Source organism: Homo sapiens, chromosome 15 (genome assembly GCF_000001405.40).
Source record: "Homo sapiens chromosome 15, GRCh38.p14 Primary Assembly".
Lineage (NCBI taxonomy): Eukaryota > Metazoa > Chordata > Mammalia > Primates > Hominidae > Homo > Homo sapiens.
Window position 1 is genome coordinate 63744240 of NC_000015.10, and position 17233 is coordinate 63761472.

General features: G+C 37.2%; 1 protein-coding gene across 50 annotated transcripts in view; it reads right to left on the reverse strand.

Moving 5' to 3' along the window:
- HERC1 (HECT and RLD domain containing E3 ubiquitin protein ligase family member 1) overlaps window positions 1–17233 on the reverse strand; it is a 225331-nt gene that overhangs the window by 135622 nt on the left and 72476 nt on the right. For all 50 annotated transcript variants that reach the window (XM_047433260.1, XM_047433247.1, XM_047433234.1 and 47 more), the window contains exons 4-12: window positions 13936–14130; window positions 12198–12509; window positions 10990–11086; window positions 10266–10409; window positions 8719–8846; window positions 5408–5552; window positions 5128–5299; window positions 3485–3619; window positions 2679–2844 (exon numbers count right to left, since the gene is read on the reverse strand). In XM_047433260.1, the coding sequence (XP_047289216.1) occupies window positions 2679–2844; window positions 3485–3619; window positions 5128–5299; window positions 5408–5552; window positions 8719–8846; window positions 10266–10409; window positions 10990–11086; window positions 12198–12509; window positions 13936–14130 (1494 nt within the window). The remainder of the gene's footprint in view (window positions 1–2678; window positions 2845–3484; window positions 3620–5127; window positions 5300–5407; window positions 5553–8718; window positions 8847–10265; window positions 10410–10989; window positions 11087–12197; window positions 12510–13935; window positions 14131–17233) is intronic.

A 17233-nucleotide genomic window follows, 5' to 3' on the forward strand; every position in this document is an offset into this window, starting at 1 on the left:
GCACCCCTGTGGCCAACACCACTATGACTGCACTGGGTCAGACCTAAAGCTAGCACAGCACCAGCACAGCACTGGGTCTCACCCAAGCTTGCCGTAACCACTCCCTGGCTATTGCCTATGTTCGCTCAAGACTCTGTGGTTCCACAATCAGCCAGTGGCAAAGCCAGCCAGGCCGTGTCCTTCCCTTCAGGGGGAGTGAGGTCCCCCAAGCCTCAGGTGGGTCTAGAGGTGCCATCTGGGAGTCAGGGACTAGAGTCAAAAACCTTAGAGGTCTACCCAATGTTCTATTGTACTATGGCTGAGCTGGCACTCAAACCACAAGACACAGTCTTTTTCACTTGTGCCTCCCCTTTCCAAAGCTAGAGGAGCCTCGCCCCATAGCTACCACCACCCCAGGCCACAAGGAGTATTGCCAGACAAGCACCACTGTTCCCTTAAGCTTAAGGCCCAGGGATTCTTAAGTTAGCTTATGGTGAATACTGCCTGGCCTAGGTCTCACCCTTCAGGGCAGTGGGTTCTCCTGTAGCCCAGGACAGGTCTAGAAATGCCATCTAACAATCAAGTCCTGGAATCAGGGATCCCAAGAGTGTATTTGGTACTCTGTCCCTCCATGGCTGTGCTGGTACCTGAAGCCAGAAAGTCTCAGAGGCTCACCCAAAGCCCTTGACATAGCAGCTGGGTATCAATGCTGGTTATTCACAGCCCATGGGCTCTTCGGTTAGCAGGTGATGAATGCTGCCAGTACTGAGTCCTTTTCTTCAAGGCAGTGGGTTCCCTTCTGGCCTGGGGCATGTCTAGAAATGTCATCTGAGAGCTGGCATCTGGAACAGGGAGACTTGCGACTCTGACTGGTCCCCTATCCTGCTGTGACCAAGATGTTATCTAAGACACAAGACAAAGTCCTGCCCACTCTTCCCTCTCAAGTGGAAGAAAGGGGTCTCTCTTGGAGCCACGAGCTGTGTAGCCTGGCATTGGGGTCGGGGAGGCGGGGGGTGAGCCAACACTCCCTTGGTTACCCCAGCTGGTGTCTCAGTATGTCACCTGCCCCTCTGTCCACTGTCTCTGGGACCAGTTCAGCACTAGGACTCGCCTAAGAGTTGCAGTCCTTTTGGCCTAGACTGCCTTTCAAGTTTACTTGGAGACACAGAGCACTATAGCCCTCAGTGGCAAGCCTTGCAGGAATTCAAATTTGGATCACTGGGATCAGCAGTTCCCCTCTGGCTAGGGTTGGTTTAAATGCTCCCTCTGTGCACAGGTGTCAGCTGAGTTTGGTCCAGTTCTCCTTTCTGCTCTAACAGGATAGCATTGAGTTCAATGCCTCACAATTGTTGTGTTCTCCCTCCCCAAGCACCCAGAGACACTCTCTGCACCATACTGCCACTGCTGCAGGGGGAGGAGTGGCACTGCCTATTCAGGACTGTTTTTTCTATCTCTTCAGTGCCTCTTTCAGTGATATGAAGTTAAAACTAGGTACTGTAAGTGCTCACCTGATTTTTGGTTCTTATGAAGGTGGTTTTTTCTGTGTAGAGTTGTTAAAGTGGTGTCCTTGGCAGGGGGAATGATCAGTGGAGCCTTCTATTCCACCATCTTGCTCTGCCTCTCAATTTCCCTTTTGATTTCTGTAGGGTCAGTAGTAATATCTTGTCTTTCATTCCTGATTTGAGTAATTTAAGTCCTCTCTCATTTTTCTTGGTCAGTCCAGCCAGAGGTTTGTTGATTTTGTCTTTTCAAAGAACAAACATTTAGTTTCCTGGATCTCCTCAATTGTTTTTCTGTTCTTTATTTTTTTAATTTCACTCTAATCTACATTAGTTCCTTTTTTCTACTTGCTTTGGGTTGAGTTGACTCTTCTTTTTCTAATTTCTTAAGGTAGAAGGTTAAATTACTGATTCGATATATATTTTTTTTAATATAGATGTTTATAAGCTATAAATTTTCCTCCAAGCACAGCTTTAGCTGCATTTCATGAGTTTTGGTATGTTAAGTTTTTGTTTTCATTAATCTTAAGTATTAAATTTATCTTGTAATTTCTTTCTTTGATCCACTGATAATTTAGGAGTGCACTGGTTTAAAAATTACTGTACTTTCTATTATTACCTACCAAAAGAGTTTATTTTCTGTATTTTGTATTACAAATATATAGATATTTTTAAGTTTCCCCCAAATTTAACATTGTATTATAATACTAAATATGTTTTTTTAAACTATACTCTCCTTATTTATAACCAGTATTCTATTCTAGGCCACTTCTTCCTCCTTAAGCTGACCTTTCTCTCCTTAGCTCTGGTTACAGTTCTAGTAGATGATCCAGTCCACTTATTCAGTTACTACTACTGACCAAGCCATGCCCTAGGTCCTTGCCCTCAGGAACTCATCTTCTGGTGAAAAAAGAGTGACATGTTTGTAAATAAGCAACTAGAATACAATGTGATGTAATGAGAACATATACAAGAAAAACCAAATCTGGTGGGAGAGCAGGAATAAAAAGTTTATCAGAGATGGCATCTGACCTTTGTCTCAAGGATGAGTTAACCAAAAATACTCTCACCAAGAAAACAGGAGTAAGGGAAACAACATCCAATTGAAATTGTCCAATGTACAGTTGAATATATTGTATAGCTAAAATCTCAGAGAAAGACGTGGTTTGAGATACAGATTCACAAGTCCTATTCTCTTACCTCTTGGATTTCATCTGGGACAGTTGAGTCCATCAGTCTGAAGAGCAAATTTCGAAGTGGACCTGCCTGCCTCCCGAGAATGCTGGTAGCTACCCCTCCCGCAAGTGCAAGAGCAAGGTGATTTGAAAGTAGCTTCAGGCACAGCTTGAGAAAACTGTGGTGTTCTCTGAAACCAAATAAACGTCTATGAATTCTCGGATCATAAAAGTGCCTGTGCTATCCAGTTTGGGTAACATTTTTATATCTTTAAAAATTTTGTTGGCTAGGTGCGGTGGCTCATGCCTGTAATCCCAGCACTTTGGGAGGCGGAGGTGGGTGGATCACCTGAAGTCAGGAGTTAGAGACTAGCCTGGCCAACATGGCAAAACCCCGCCTCTACTAAAAATACAAAAATTAGCTGGGCATGATGGCGGGTGCCTGTAATCCCAGCTACTCAGAAGGCTGAGGCAAGAGAATCACTTGAACCTGGGAGGCAGAGGCTGCAGTGAACTGAGATCATGCCACTGCACTCTAGCCTGGGCGACAGAGCAAGACACCATCTTAAAAAAAAAAAAATTTTGTCAAGTCATGAACAACAGTAATTTTTAAAACATGATTTGTGAAATTACAAGTAACTTTTTCCTAGAAGTTATTATCAACAAGTATCTAAGTTTAGCTCTTTTCTAGATTATAAAAAAGTTTCATATAATTTGGGAAACCAAACAAGAAAGAACAGTAAGTCAAAACTCAAAAGGAATAATTTATACACATGCACACACGCGCGCGCACACACACACACAAAGATACAAAACATACATATAACATACCTTGATGAAGGGAAAGGGAGTGGGGGAATCTCACTGTTTATTTTATCACAGTATCTCTCAAGAAAAGAACGCAGGTGTGAGAAGGTACTCTCTTCAAGATCTACACAATAAGGTCGGTGCCATGCAACAACTTGTCTAGAAGGACACATAAGAAAATAATAAAACAGTCTTAAAATGAAATTTTTATGCACGATCAAAAACGAAAATTAAAACATATATTGGCTGGGCACGGTGGCTCATGCCTGTAATCCTAGCACTTTGGGAGGCCAAGGAATGCAGATTACCTGAGGTGAGGAGTTCAAGACCAGCCTGGCCAACATGGTGAAAACCCATCTCTACTAAAAACATAAAAATTAGTCGGGCATGGTGGTATATGCCTGTAGTCCCAGTTACCCAGGAGGCTAAGGCAGGGGAATCGCTTGAACCTGGGAAGCAGACACTGCAGTGAGCAGAGACTGTATCACTGCACTCCAGCCTGGGCGACAGAGTGAGACTCCATCTCAAAAAATATATATATACATATATACATTAAAGCTGAATGAGTTCAACAAGATACAAAGAAGACATTACTGATTATGAAAGTGATAAAACCTTTCATTTTAGCAACTAAGGAAAACCAAGAATTTGCCATCTTTAAGAAGAAAACATACAACCACCACCTGTTTTGGAAGGTTTGGATGTCCACTCACCTGAAAGCAGAGGGCTGAGTCACATGATCTACTAAAGCCCCTCTGGTTCTAAGAGTCCAGAAAATATATATTTCATATTAAGAAAAATATCCTGACTCTATAGAGTGATATACTGAAATCTATTAAAAGACAAAATCCTGAAATTTCTTGTTAATACTTTTCAGTTCTTGGGACCCAACTATCTACATATGAAGTGGGAAGTTGGAGATGTAATGCTAATAGCAAATTATTTATATTCAACTTATTTATTTTGGCTTTTGTGTTAGAGGAATAACTATTGATAAATATTTTTAATTGGTTAGAGTATCATTTTAAAACCCTGAGTCAAAGGCATAGAATGCAAATAAAATACATTCTAAGCTATAAATTAGCCCATGTGTATCTGAAAATATCTGAAATAACCCAAACATTCTTTAAAATTCAATCTCCTAATAGTGACTGAAACTCATCTACCTGATGGACTAAACACGTACAGTTAGCACTTTCGGAAAAAGCTAAGTTTCTGCAAAAATTAACCTCCTTGATTTAAAGTATGACAATTTTTTTTCCAAAAAAAAAAAAAAATTCAAAAACCAACCAGATTGAGAGCACTGAGGTTAAACATTAAATCAATAAAGCCTAGTTCTGATTTTAATTATTTTAATTTCCTCTTGATATGCAGATATTTAATTTTTTTAAATCAGCATGTAGAGATGAGAGAGAACTCAAAATGTTTAAAAGACAATGTCTTAAATACTGGGTATGACTTCTTGCTTCGGAAACATGTCTAACCTCAACATTCAAATAAAAAGAAATCTAATGTCATTTCTATGATAGAGAAAAAGCAATACTATATATGTTCAGAAGAGTATTTTATGAACAAAGCACAATTATTTCTGTTTTTATTAGTGTTTCTACTTTTTATTGGTGTTTATGTTAAAACACACAAGAATTTTTAAACATAGGCACTCTTACCTGTCCCTAGGAAGAGCAGTCCATGCCAGACTATGTGATGTTCCAGCCGAAATCTGCTGAATAGCTATGCCATCTAAGCCACTCACTTTCTTTGGTTTAGTAATAGGACCTGTGGAATTTCCCTGACCACATTGCCCCATTGAGTTATTGCCCCAGGCATAAACTTCATTATCTAAAAACAAAATATAAAGTATTATATAAAAGAAAAGCCAAATTCAAATGTAATATATTTACACAAGACAACAGTTAATACTATTTCCTTAAAAACAAATGACTTTACCATGAGAAAGAGCCAAACAATGACTGTCTCCAATAGAAACATCAACTATTCTTGTGGCAGCCAGTTCTTCAATAAGCTTGGGTCTCAAAGCAGTAGCTTCTGAAGAACCACAACCTAGACAAGCTCCACAGCCCCAAGCATAGACCTGAAAAAAACAGAAATACGTTACACATAACTTCCTGAGATGATTAGATTGTTGGCTTTAGGGATAAATGAAATCTATGAAACTAAAGTGTGGTTTGATAGTAAATAACTTTCTGATGTTAAAATCATTTTGATCATTTTAAAGATTGTTACAGCGATTTATCATGCTGCCTTTAGGCATTCACTGTATAGGCAGAAAAACAGCTGATCTGAAAATAAAAATAACTGGTCATAGAAAAAACAGAAAGGTCTTCTGAGAGGGTCTGCTAAACCACTAATCGGCTTGCAATTTGTTATATTTGCCCCATCTCACCAGCTTTGAAAATACCATCTTAAAACTTCTCCTTTATGTGTTTCTCACTATTCCGGTGAGATTTAAGATTAGAACAAGGTATTATCATATAAAATGGATTATATAAATCACAAAACTGATGTTTATTATTTAGTTTTAGAAATACCTCACCTCATTATTGCAATAATTATCACTTACAAAGAGGGCCATGTGAAGCAGTAACAAGGTAGTTCCCCTTAAACATCTTCATTTTTGACTAATGAATACCAAAAGAATCACTAACTGATTTAAGATGCTTGGGGAAAGGGTTAGGTGGGAAAAAAAAATTTTGTCTTTGGCAAGACAAATAGGTGACTGACTGACAATTTGGCAACCCAAAATCAACAAAATCAAAACAATCAGCAATCTGAATGATTTTTTTTCTTTATCTTCAATAGATTTTGGTAAGATTATATAGATTCTTATCTTCATGCCATCAAATTTGAGAATTTGTTTTTGTCTTGCAATTATTTTAGGAAAGACTGCTGCTGAGAGATTAAACCACTTCAATTAAAAATAAAGAGCACTGTCCGGATGTAGTGGCTTAAGCCTGTAATCCCAGCACGTTGGGAGGCTATGGCAGGAGGATCACCCAAGCTCAGGAGTTCAATACCAGCCTGGACAATGTGGCAAGACCCGATCTCCACAAAAATTTAAAAAAATTGGTCAAGCATTGTGGCACAGGCCTGTGGTCCCAGCTACTCGGGAGCTGGGATGGGGAAGATCTCTTGAGCCCAGGAGGTAGGTCAAGGCTGCAGTGAGCCATGTTTGTGCCACTGTACTCCAGCCTGAGCAAAAGAGTGAGACCCTGAGTTCAAAATAAAATAAAATGAGAACATATATTTGTACTTGTTTCCAGATAACTTACTTAAGTATAGAATGCAACAAGATTCCAGTACATAAGGCATATTTTAGGAGATGTTAGGAACTAAAGATAACGACAGTGAAATAATGTATACTCAAAATCATCACAGAAGATTTCCTAAATCACTCATGAGGTATCATATACACTCATGCACCATTCGGTCAATAGCAGACCACATTATACAACAGTGGTCCCTTAAGATCTAACGGAGTTTTGATGCCAGTATTTTTACTGTAACTTTTCTATGTTTAGATATGTTTAGATACATACTTACCATTATATTACAATTTCTGAAGGTATTCAGTACAGTAACATGCAGTACAGGTTTGTAACCTAGGAGCAATAGGCTATACCATATAGTCTAGGAGCGTAGTAGGCTACACCATCTAGGTTTGTGTGGTACTCTCTACAATGTTCTCACAATAACAAAATGGCCTAATAACACATTTCTCAGAACATATCCCATTAAGTGACACATCACTGTAATACTGTCACTCAGTAAGGCCTACATAGAGTTTTCTCTTGCAGCGTTCCTTCGGTTGAGCACCAGATGAGAAATACTTGGCTTGCCTTTAGAGACTGGACCATACTATATAGTATGGTGGGAAGTCAGTACAGAAGAGGCCTGAAAGTGCTGAGACAGACTGAGGGAAAAGCAAATGTTGATCATTATTTCATGCTCAAGTTTAATGGTAAAGAAAACTATTCTTACCCATTAAAAGTATTTCTGACTTTATTTTTTTCACGCATATATATTTGATTTCATATAACTTAAGGTACTCATAATACAACTATTCTATACAGCAAACAGTTTACAAGTTCTCTTGGAATTCAATGTAATGGATTTATTATTATTATTACTATTATTACTACCACTACCAACTAATAGTTGAATAGTATTGGATAATCTATAGAAACTCTCAATTCTAATGATTATCTTATGTGATCACTTGTATGCAAAGCAGAAATTATTACTCCTTCATAAAAAAAGAAGCACATGATGCTCAAGGGGTGTCTGTTATTTGCCTGTGTGTATACATCAAATACATAAGCATCTTCTAACTTCAATTCATGGATTCTTACTACAAAAACCATAGTGAGAAACACGTAGAAGAGATATTCTTAAGGCAGCAACTAGCTAATGTAATGATGAATAGCTTGAAGATTTTTAGAACACAAGGCATTCTAGTTTCTCAGTGAATAATCAAATTATATGCTGATTTCAGCTTTTCTGCTCCTCTGCCTTGTCAATTAGTCATAAAACACTTTTATACCACTGCCTGACACAAGGTGGCCTCCTATACATGACAGAATAAGTGGCCAGCTCACTTTTTTACTGCCATAACTGATGGATACACAGGGACAAATATTGTCAGTCTATAATTATACCTGGCTCCTCCCTATCCTCAACAAACAAATAGGGTAAGAGTGAAAATACGCATGTAAAAGTTCGAAGCTTATAAGCTATAAAAGTACAAAGCTTATGAGCCTTTATAAAGGCTCATAAAATTCTGACTATCCTAAGCTTGACTTCACACTGTTTCTCAGAAACACCTAACTCTCTCAGAATATTTTCCATACCTAAGTGTTCTCTTTACCCTCCTTTTTGATCACCCTCTTGCCTTCTTAGTTCATATCACTGGCTCCATCAAGATCTAGTTCAGCTTTCCCCGACTATCCATAATGTTTTAGAAAAGGTTTAAGGGAAGCTAAATGCTAAAACATTTTAGAAAGTCAGTTTAATACAAAGAACAGAGGCTCCACTAAGATTTATCTGGGTCACATATGCCAGGTTAGAAAACCTGGTTCCTTCTCAGATACTCTACTTCAAACAGAAGAAGATATTTCATTTTAGCATGTTGCCTAAAAATGTATTTATTTGAACTTTAAAATTTAAATACAAGTATTACTTTTTAGTCACCTAATCCTCTGAAATACTCTAAGTCTTTTATACTCATCCCTTAGTCCTACCTGCCCTGTTGATGTCAAAGCAAGTGAAGACTGGCTCCCAGCACAAACTTTGCGAATGAACATTCCTTGTAAAGCTTCAATAACTTTAGGTTTATACACTCTGTTGGTATCACCATGACCAAGTTTACCTATAAAAACAAACACATTAAACAATTTACTTGTTTTAAAGAACCTCTACTCTTTTTAACACTACTAAAGTTGATAAGGAGCTCTAATGTTTCCATCACTAACCTGGCAGATATGAAAAGCTATGTTTCTGATAGCTGAGGATGTTAACAAACGAGCATTTTTATTACAAGAAAGTTAACAACCACTGATAGCCTTTTATATCTTAATTTCAAGCAATTAAAATCAAGCAATTTAAAATCACTTTAAAAGAAACATAGACAATTATTTTTCTGTCTTTCTCCCCCTTTAATGGCTATATTTCTAACTTCAAATTTGCTGACAAAATATACAGGTACTATATGCGTATAATTTTTCATAAACTTTAAAAAAGAATGTATATGCATATAATTTTTCATAAACTTTTTAAAAAATCAATAGCTCATGAAATTGAAAACTGGACAAATCATTAAAGAAGAAAAACAAATGGCCAATCATCTACAAATCCAACCACACCAGGAATAAAAAAAAGTATAAATTAAATGATACCATTTTCACTATTGAAATTATTTAATTAAATTTAATACATGCTGTTGTTGAAGACTATGGGGAAGTAAGCATTCACACTGCTAGTAGGAGTGACTAATTAAAGTAGACATAGATTTAGTCATTCATTGTGTTGTTAATACTGAAAAAAATTGAAACCATCTAGATACTCAACAATAAGAAACTGGTTTTATAAATTGTGCCACCATCAAATAAAAGAACACTTCAAGCCATTTAAAAGAATGATGTAGAGTCATGCTTGTTGATATAAAAAAGATACTCATGCCGGGCACGGAGGTTCATGCCTGTAATACAAGCACTTTGGGAGACTAAATCTGGCAGATCACTTGAGCCCAGAAGTTCGAGGCCAGCCTGGGCAATAAAGCAAAATCCTGTCTCTAAAAAAAATACAAAACTTAGTCAGGCATGGTGGTGCATGCCTGTAGTCCCAGCTACTTGGGGGGCTGAGGCAGGAGGATCGCTTGAGCCCAGGAGGTTGAGGCTGCAGTGAGCCAGGTTTGCATCACTGCACTCTAGCCTGGGTAACAAAGCAAGACCCTATCTCAAAAAAAAAAAAACTATTAGAGTAAAACATATATATGTCAAAACATATATAAACTTATATAAAACATACACATGTAGGTATACTTTGGTTTTTAAAAACACATCTAAGTAGAAATATATGTAAATATTTGTATAAATGTGTATTTATTTAGAAGTCTATTTCCAAAATGTTAACAATGGTTAAAGTAACATTTGTAAAAGCTCAGTTCATTTTTTAATTTCTGCTCATCTGTATTTGAGTCATTCTACACTAGGCATATATAACTGAAAAATAAATTTTTAAAAAACTCAAGAAAAAAGCCAAAGCTACTGATAAATAATTTTTTACATACCATTGTCTCCTCCTCCAAAAGACCATACAGTTCTCCCATCTTTAGACAGAGCAATAGTATGTGAACTGCCACAAGAAACCTCTCCTACATTGCTGATGTCTTTTACTAATGTTGGAATGTTACGACTATTGCTGTCACCATGACCTTGGATAAAACACACACAACAACAAAGAAACAACATTAACTCTTTTTCTCTAGGCCTTGACTTCACAAGTATAATAAATGTTACAACTTTAAAATAGAATTGAGATTTTTTTAATGCAATGCAATATGAAAAACACAATCATTTCTAACATCTTCTCAATCTTCCAAGGTGCTCCTAAACTGGGTCATAGAGTCACTTCGGTGAACCATTAGAATATTCTTTTCATGCTCCCCTCACAGCACTTACCTTGTGTTGTCCTGTTTCATGCTCATGTTGACTTGTTTTCATTACCCACTAGATTATAAACTTCAGGATCATGATGGTATTGCTTTTATCCCAGAAACCCTACAATGCCTGGTCATAATAGGGCACACTCAGTAAATGCTTGCTAGATTTAATTACATTTAAATATCAGCACTAAAATCTAGGTCTTATCTATATAAAATTATCTTCCTCTGAGCTTAAACTAACAAAATAAATGACAGTCTTTGGCCTAGTAAATCTGCTCTCACGGCTTCTCAGTAACTTAATCATTTCTAATTTTCTAGAAGAATAACTTACATTTTTAAAAAATCTTACCTAATCTTCCAAAGTCTCCTTCACCCCATGTGTATAATTCCCCATCCTCTGTGACAGCAGCACTATGTCTGTATCCAGCTGACACACAAACAACTACCTGCATTGCACACAAGTAAATACGATGAGTATGCACATGTTAAAACATATAGTCCGTATTTGATCCTATACACAGAGACTTCACAGATACTAATATTCACAACCCATCCAGGAATTTCCAGGTACAGTTGTGGAGGCTGTGTTCAGGCCAAGGATGACTGGCTAAGAGTTCAAGTAAGTGCTGAAATACATGCCTGTAATCCCAGCACTTTGGCAGGCCAAGGCAGGCAGATTGTTTGAGCTCAGGAGTTCGAGTTCAGCCTGGGCAACATGGCAAAACCCTGTTTCTTTTAAAAAATATGAAAATTAGCCAGGCATGGTGGCGCATGTCTATAGTCCCAGCTACTCAGAAAGCTGAGTTGGGAGGACCACCTGAGCCCCAGGAAATCAAAGATGCAGTGGGCTGAGATAGCACCACTGCACTCCGGCCTGGGTGACAAAGTAAGAACCTAACAAAAAAAGAAAGAAAGAAAAGAGAGGAAGAGAGAGGAGGGGAGATTAATAAAAAGAGAAGATATGAGCTCAGTTTCTTATGGTTCCAATTATTTGTGTGGGTCCTTGGCAATTACTTAGGTACTCTAAATGCCTCCCCATTCAGGTCTCTATTAAGATGCCACCTCTCCTAAGAGCACTCTCTGACCTACCTCATTACCTAATACCACACCTGCCCAAGGTAACCTTTATTGCTCATTTTTTTCTTTAATATTATCTGAAATTATTCTATATGCTTGTTAACTTATTATCTCTATCCTGAAGACTAAAGGATTAAAGTAGAGACCTTATCTGTCTTGTTCACTGCTACAAGTCTAATGCCTAAAATACTGCCTGACACTTCAAAAGTGCTAAATGTTTGTTAAATGAATGACTCTCAGTTTGCTTATCTGTGAAATAGGGATAATAACTACCTTACAAGAATAATTATAAGAATATAAGAATTAAAATTCAATAATGTATACAAAGGTGTTCTGTAAACTGTAAAGCAGAGATACAAAAGATTAAGCCAAAGGGTTGAAGGGGCAACTGCAGAAAGAACACATCAAAATCTGAACGACATTGTCAATTACAACTCCAATGCATCTAATTATTTTTATAACCAAAAAGAATGCACATACCTTTCCTTGTAGAGGTCCCTGAATAAGCTTGGGATATTTCTGTGTTGAACTATTTCCATGCCCCAGTTTCCCATAATCACCATCTCCCCAACTGAAGACTTCTCCTTCTGTCGTAAAGGCTAAAGTGTGACCATCAGATCCTTTAGAAGATGAAACCTTTTTAATGGATCTGTGAGGCTCGAATGTTAACTTTTTTAAAGTTGACTGATTATTGGAGTCTCCAAGGCCCAGTCTCCCATAGCTGCCTTTCCCGCAAGCTCTAACAGAGCCATCCGTAGAAATGACAAAAGTGCAGTACTGTCCAGCTTCAATCTATAAACAAAGAATCATAAATATAAAATACTTCTGTGAGTATCAAAGTATAATATTTAAGGCTGGTTTTATCAAAGAGCCTCAAAGGAAGTCTTTTAGCAGGATACGGCATGATTCTCCAGAGAGATTAAGGAATATACAGAAATCTAAGAGAACACGAATGGCCTTTTCATGCTCACAACTTTGTTGCTGAGTTCAAATTCTTCATGTATATGTTATCTTTCCAGGTTATTGTCCAGGTTATGATTGAATGAAACAACAAAGTAAAACGCTTAATATCCTCTTATAACTGAGAATGGCAAGACATAAAGTTTTCCTTCCTATAAATTCCTTAGGGTACATTATGGCAAGAACCATATAAAATGTATTCTAAACCTATTTGAAAAAAAAATACATTTTAATGAAAGTAATAATCAAATAGAAAGTTCTAGCTGGGCTACAAATGTAAAAAAAAAAGTGATCATAAGAAAATGAAATGCTAATCTAGCAAAAAGAAATTCCAGTTTTTATTTACTTTTTTTTTTTTTTTTTTTTGAGACAGAGTCTCGCTCTGTCACCTGGGCTAGAGTGCAGTGGTGCAATTTTGTTTCACTATAACCTCCACTTACCAGGTTCAAGCAATTCCTGCCTCAGCCCCCTGAGTACATGAGATTATAGGCACGCGCCATCATGCCCGGCTAATTTTTGTAAATAATTTTAGTAGAGACGGGGTTTCACCATGTTGGTCAAGCTAGTCTCGAACTCATGATCTCAAACGATCCACCCGCCTTGGCCTCCCAAAGTGCTGGGATTACAGGTGTGAGCCACCATACCAGGCCTTTATTTACTTTTACTTGCCATTTGTGGTGAACATAACGGTAAAGTCTGTTGCTATTCTTAACACTTTTTAAAAATCGAGATCCCAATTTAGTTATTTGAAAGTTGGAAATGCTGTCAGGGATACTGGGGACTAAAAATGTATTTTTTATTTATTTATTTTGAGACGGAGCCTCACTCTGTCACCCAGGCTGGAATGCAGTGGCATGTTCTCAGCTCACTGCAACCTCCGCCTCCCAGGTTCAAGCTATTCTTCTGCCTCAGCCTCCCGAGTAGCTGGGACTACAGGCATGCGCCACCATGCCTGGCTAATTTTTGTATTTTTAGTAGAGATAGGGTTTCACCATATTGGCCAGGCTGGTCGCGAACTCCTGACCTCGTGATCCACCTGCCTCAGCCTCCCAAAGTGCTGGGATTACAGGCGTGAGCCACTGCGCCCAGCAAAAATTTATTTTTCTATTAAAATGAAAAAAACTAATGCAGTATATAGACCAGAAATAACCATCGATAATTTTCACTCATTTAAAAAATACTCAGTATTATTTAATGCAAATAAGCATGAATATACACCAGATTATCTACCAGTTTGTAAGCTATTTAGAAAACTTACGGTCTGTGCATCAGAGAAACTAGGAGCCAGTTTGGGTTGCAGTATTTTCTCCTGTGTACCTTCTACCAACTGATGGCTGCTATTGCTCCCCCAAACATAAACCTCACAGGTTTCGGAGACAATGGGAGCATCACCAGTCTGAATGCTATCTGGGCTAGCACATGTTCTCGAATAATCAGAAGCCATTCTGCAAACCTATTAAAAATTTAAAATATGCAACAAATAGTCAAGACAGTTTTAGTCTGGGCATTTTTTATACATATCCTCTGAAATTACTGTTGCCTTTCCTTCCAACACTCTCAAATGCTCAAAGAACCTATTAAATAAAGATAACTAGACTATTTACTCATATGGAATAAACCACTAAAAGACGCTAATGAAGTGGCAAAAGTGGGAAACGGGAGACACACAATCCTTTAGCTAAACATTTTATTACTGCATACAAAACACTGTAGAAAAACAAAGCTTAAGAAATAAAGTAGAAAAAATCACCATGGATAATCTTAACATCTTAATACAATAAATTTTACCTTTTAAATATATGTCCTTCCAGAATTGTTCATATACAAATTATTTAACACAGTCACCACAGAGGATACATAAAAGTGACAAACTGCACAAAAGAGTCATGCAAATCCATGCCTACCTAGTCTTCATGATTGAATAGATAATATTCCATCTAGTAAAAAACATCACAATGTACTCAACCACTTCCCCACCCCCAACTTTTTTTTTAAATAGATGGGGTCTCATTATCTTACACAGACTAGACTCAAACTCCTGGGTTCAAGCAATCCTCCCACCTCAGCCCCCCAAGTAGCTGAGATTACAGGCATGCAAGTAATCATACCTGGCTCCACTTTCCTTTAATAGGGCATTTAGAGTCTATTTATTTGTTATATAGGCCATTTTTAAGGATATAGTTGTTACTATACTTTTTATTACTTCCTTAGTAGAGAATCTCAGAAATGGGACTCGGAATTCAAAAAAAGACAAGAATCCTATGATTCTTGAAACATACTATACCAAACTGCATTCCAAAATGGTGCTATTAATACATCACCAGTAAGGTATGAAAGAAGGCTGTTCTAAAAACAGCGAAGGCACAAAGCAATTAACATTCACACGTATATCTGAATATATAAAATAAAAATCATGGCTTATTTACCATTTCTGTAGAATATAATGGTAAAGTCTGTTGCCATTCAAAAGCCTTTTTAAAACACCAGGCTGCCTGCCAAAAGCATAGGACCCAGAGTGGCCATCCCAGTACCAATTTCACTGAATCCATACTCATAATAAGTATCATGCTTTTAAATTTTTTGGCAAACATAAATGAGGAAAAAGGAAGATGCCCTTATCTTAACTTCACATTTCTTTATTGTTAGCAAAACTAAAGTTTTTCCATCTATTTGTTTACTATATTTTGTGACGTGAACTTCTGTTCACTTATTTATTAGAACTTAATAGATTTTTAAATTGACTTGTATGAACTCAATACAATAAAGATATTAACTGACTACAGTGACTATCAATTTGTTTTCTGCCTTTTAGTTTTTTGGTTTTGCTGAATCAAGCAAAACGATAAAAGAAATTTAAGAAGTCAACATATTAGTTTGCTAGCACATGAAATGGGAGAGGATAGGGTCATCTTGGTCAGATACTTTAAATAGTATCCAAACAATAGAATAATATGTGTGTTAGACAAATATTTTCCAGTGAACATGAGGACAGTATCTGAGGACAGCTGCCAGTCCCTAATAAAAGGTCTGGAATTTTGCTGGAGATAAAGGAGGATAGTGGGGCCAAGGGAGTCAGAATTGCTCATCTACAGGTCTATCACAGCCAGTGTGGTGGCTCATGCCTCTTGATACTGGCCAGCCAGGATTCCTTTCCAGGACAAAGCCCCTACACTGAGAAAAACTACTGGGGGCAGAAAAAAAAATTGAACTGGATAGGGACAACAGAAAGGAAAGATGGAAAGGAAAGAGAATACCAAGACAAAAGTTGGGAAGGGGAACAAACTGGAAAACGACTTTTTTTTAACATTACACACAAAAAAAAACAGAGGGAGGGAGTCTATGGAGTTTAAAAAGCCATCTTAAATCCCAACTCATTCTAAGAGTTCAGGAAAACTAATCCTACGTAGAAATAAGCAACAGAAAAGTATTGAGGTCAAATCCCATATGAAGTTATTATAAAGTTGCAGTGAGCCAAGATCATGCCACTGTACTCCAGCCCGGGCAGCAGAGACACCATCCAAAAAAAAAAAAAAAAAAAAGACACAAAGGAAAAACAGAAATCTGAATTACAAACCCTCAAAAATGAGGTAACATAACTCAAGAATTAGAAATAAGAGAAAAAAATCATTTTGGAACTGAAGACTAAACTAGAAGAAACCCAAAAGTAAATAAATACAGTAGATAATGCCCTAAGAGTAATGAAAGACAAAAAGCATTTTTAGAAATTAAAAAATTTAAAAAGACAAAGTATTCAAGAAAAACTGACAAATATTAAAATCAGGCAAAGATCCAACATGCACATAATAGAAATCCCTAAAGAATAGAACCCAATCAAGGGAATAAAAATAAGAAACTGTAATTTAGGGACATTTTCCTGAAATAAAAAAGATTTGAAACTACATATTGAATTATCACATCTCTAAGAATATCAACCCAGAATGAATAATATCAAGACATATTCTATAGTAAAATTACTGATCTTTAAAGAGAAAAAAAAATCCTTTGGGCTTCTCAGCAAATATGCATGGCTCACATAGGAAAGAAAATCAGATTACCTTTGGACTTTGACAGTAACAGTTTATGCCAGAAGAGAATGGAGTAACATATTTAAGATAGACAAGAAGAAAAGAAAATGTGAACTAAAGAAAAGATGAACTAAAGATTATTATCAACACTGACATTCAAGAATAAAGAGCACAGCAATTATCAACATGCAAAAACTCTGAAATCTTGTTCTGATGAGTCTTTATTGAGAAATCTACTAGAGAATGACCCTCAAACTATCAAAAAGAATAGACACTGACACAGAGACTAGTATTGAGCATTAAATAAGTAATCATTTGTAGAACTAATACTAAATGAAGGTTAAAACACAGAGACAGGCTGGGCGCCATGGCTCACGTCTGTAATACCAGTACTTTGGGAGCCCGAGGTAGAAGGATCACTTGAGCTCAGGAGTTTAAGACCAGTCTGGGCAACCATAGCAATACCTCATCTCTACTAAAAATAAAAATAAAAAAATTAGCCAGGTGTGATGGCACATGCCTGTAGTCCCA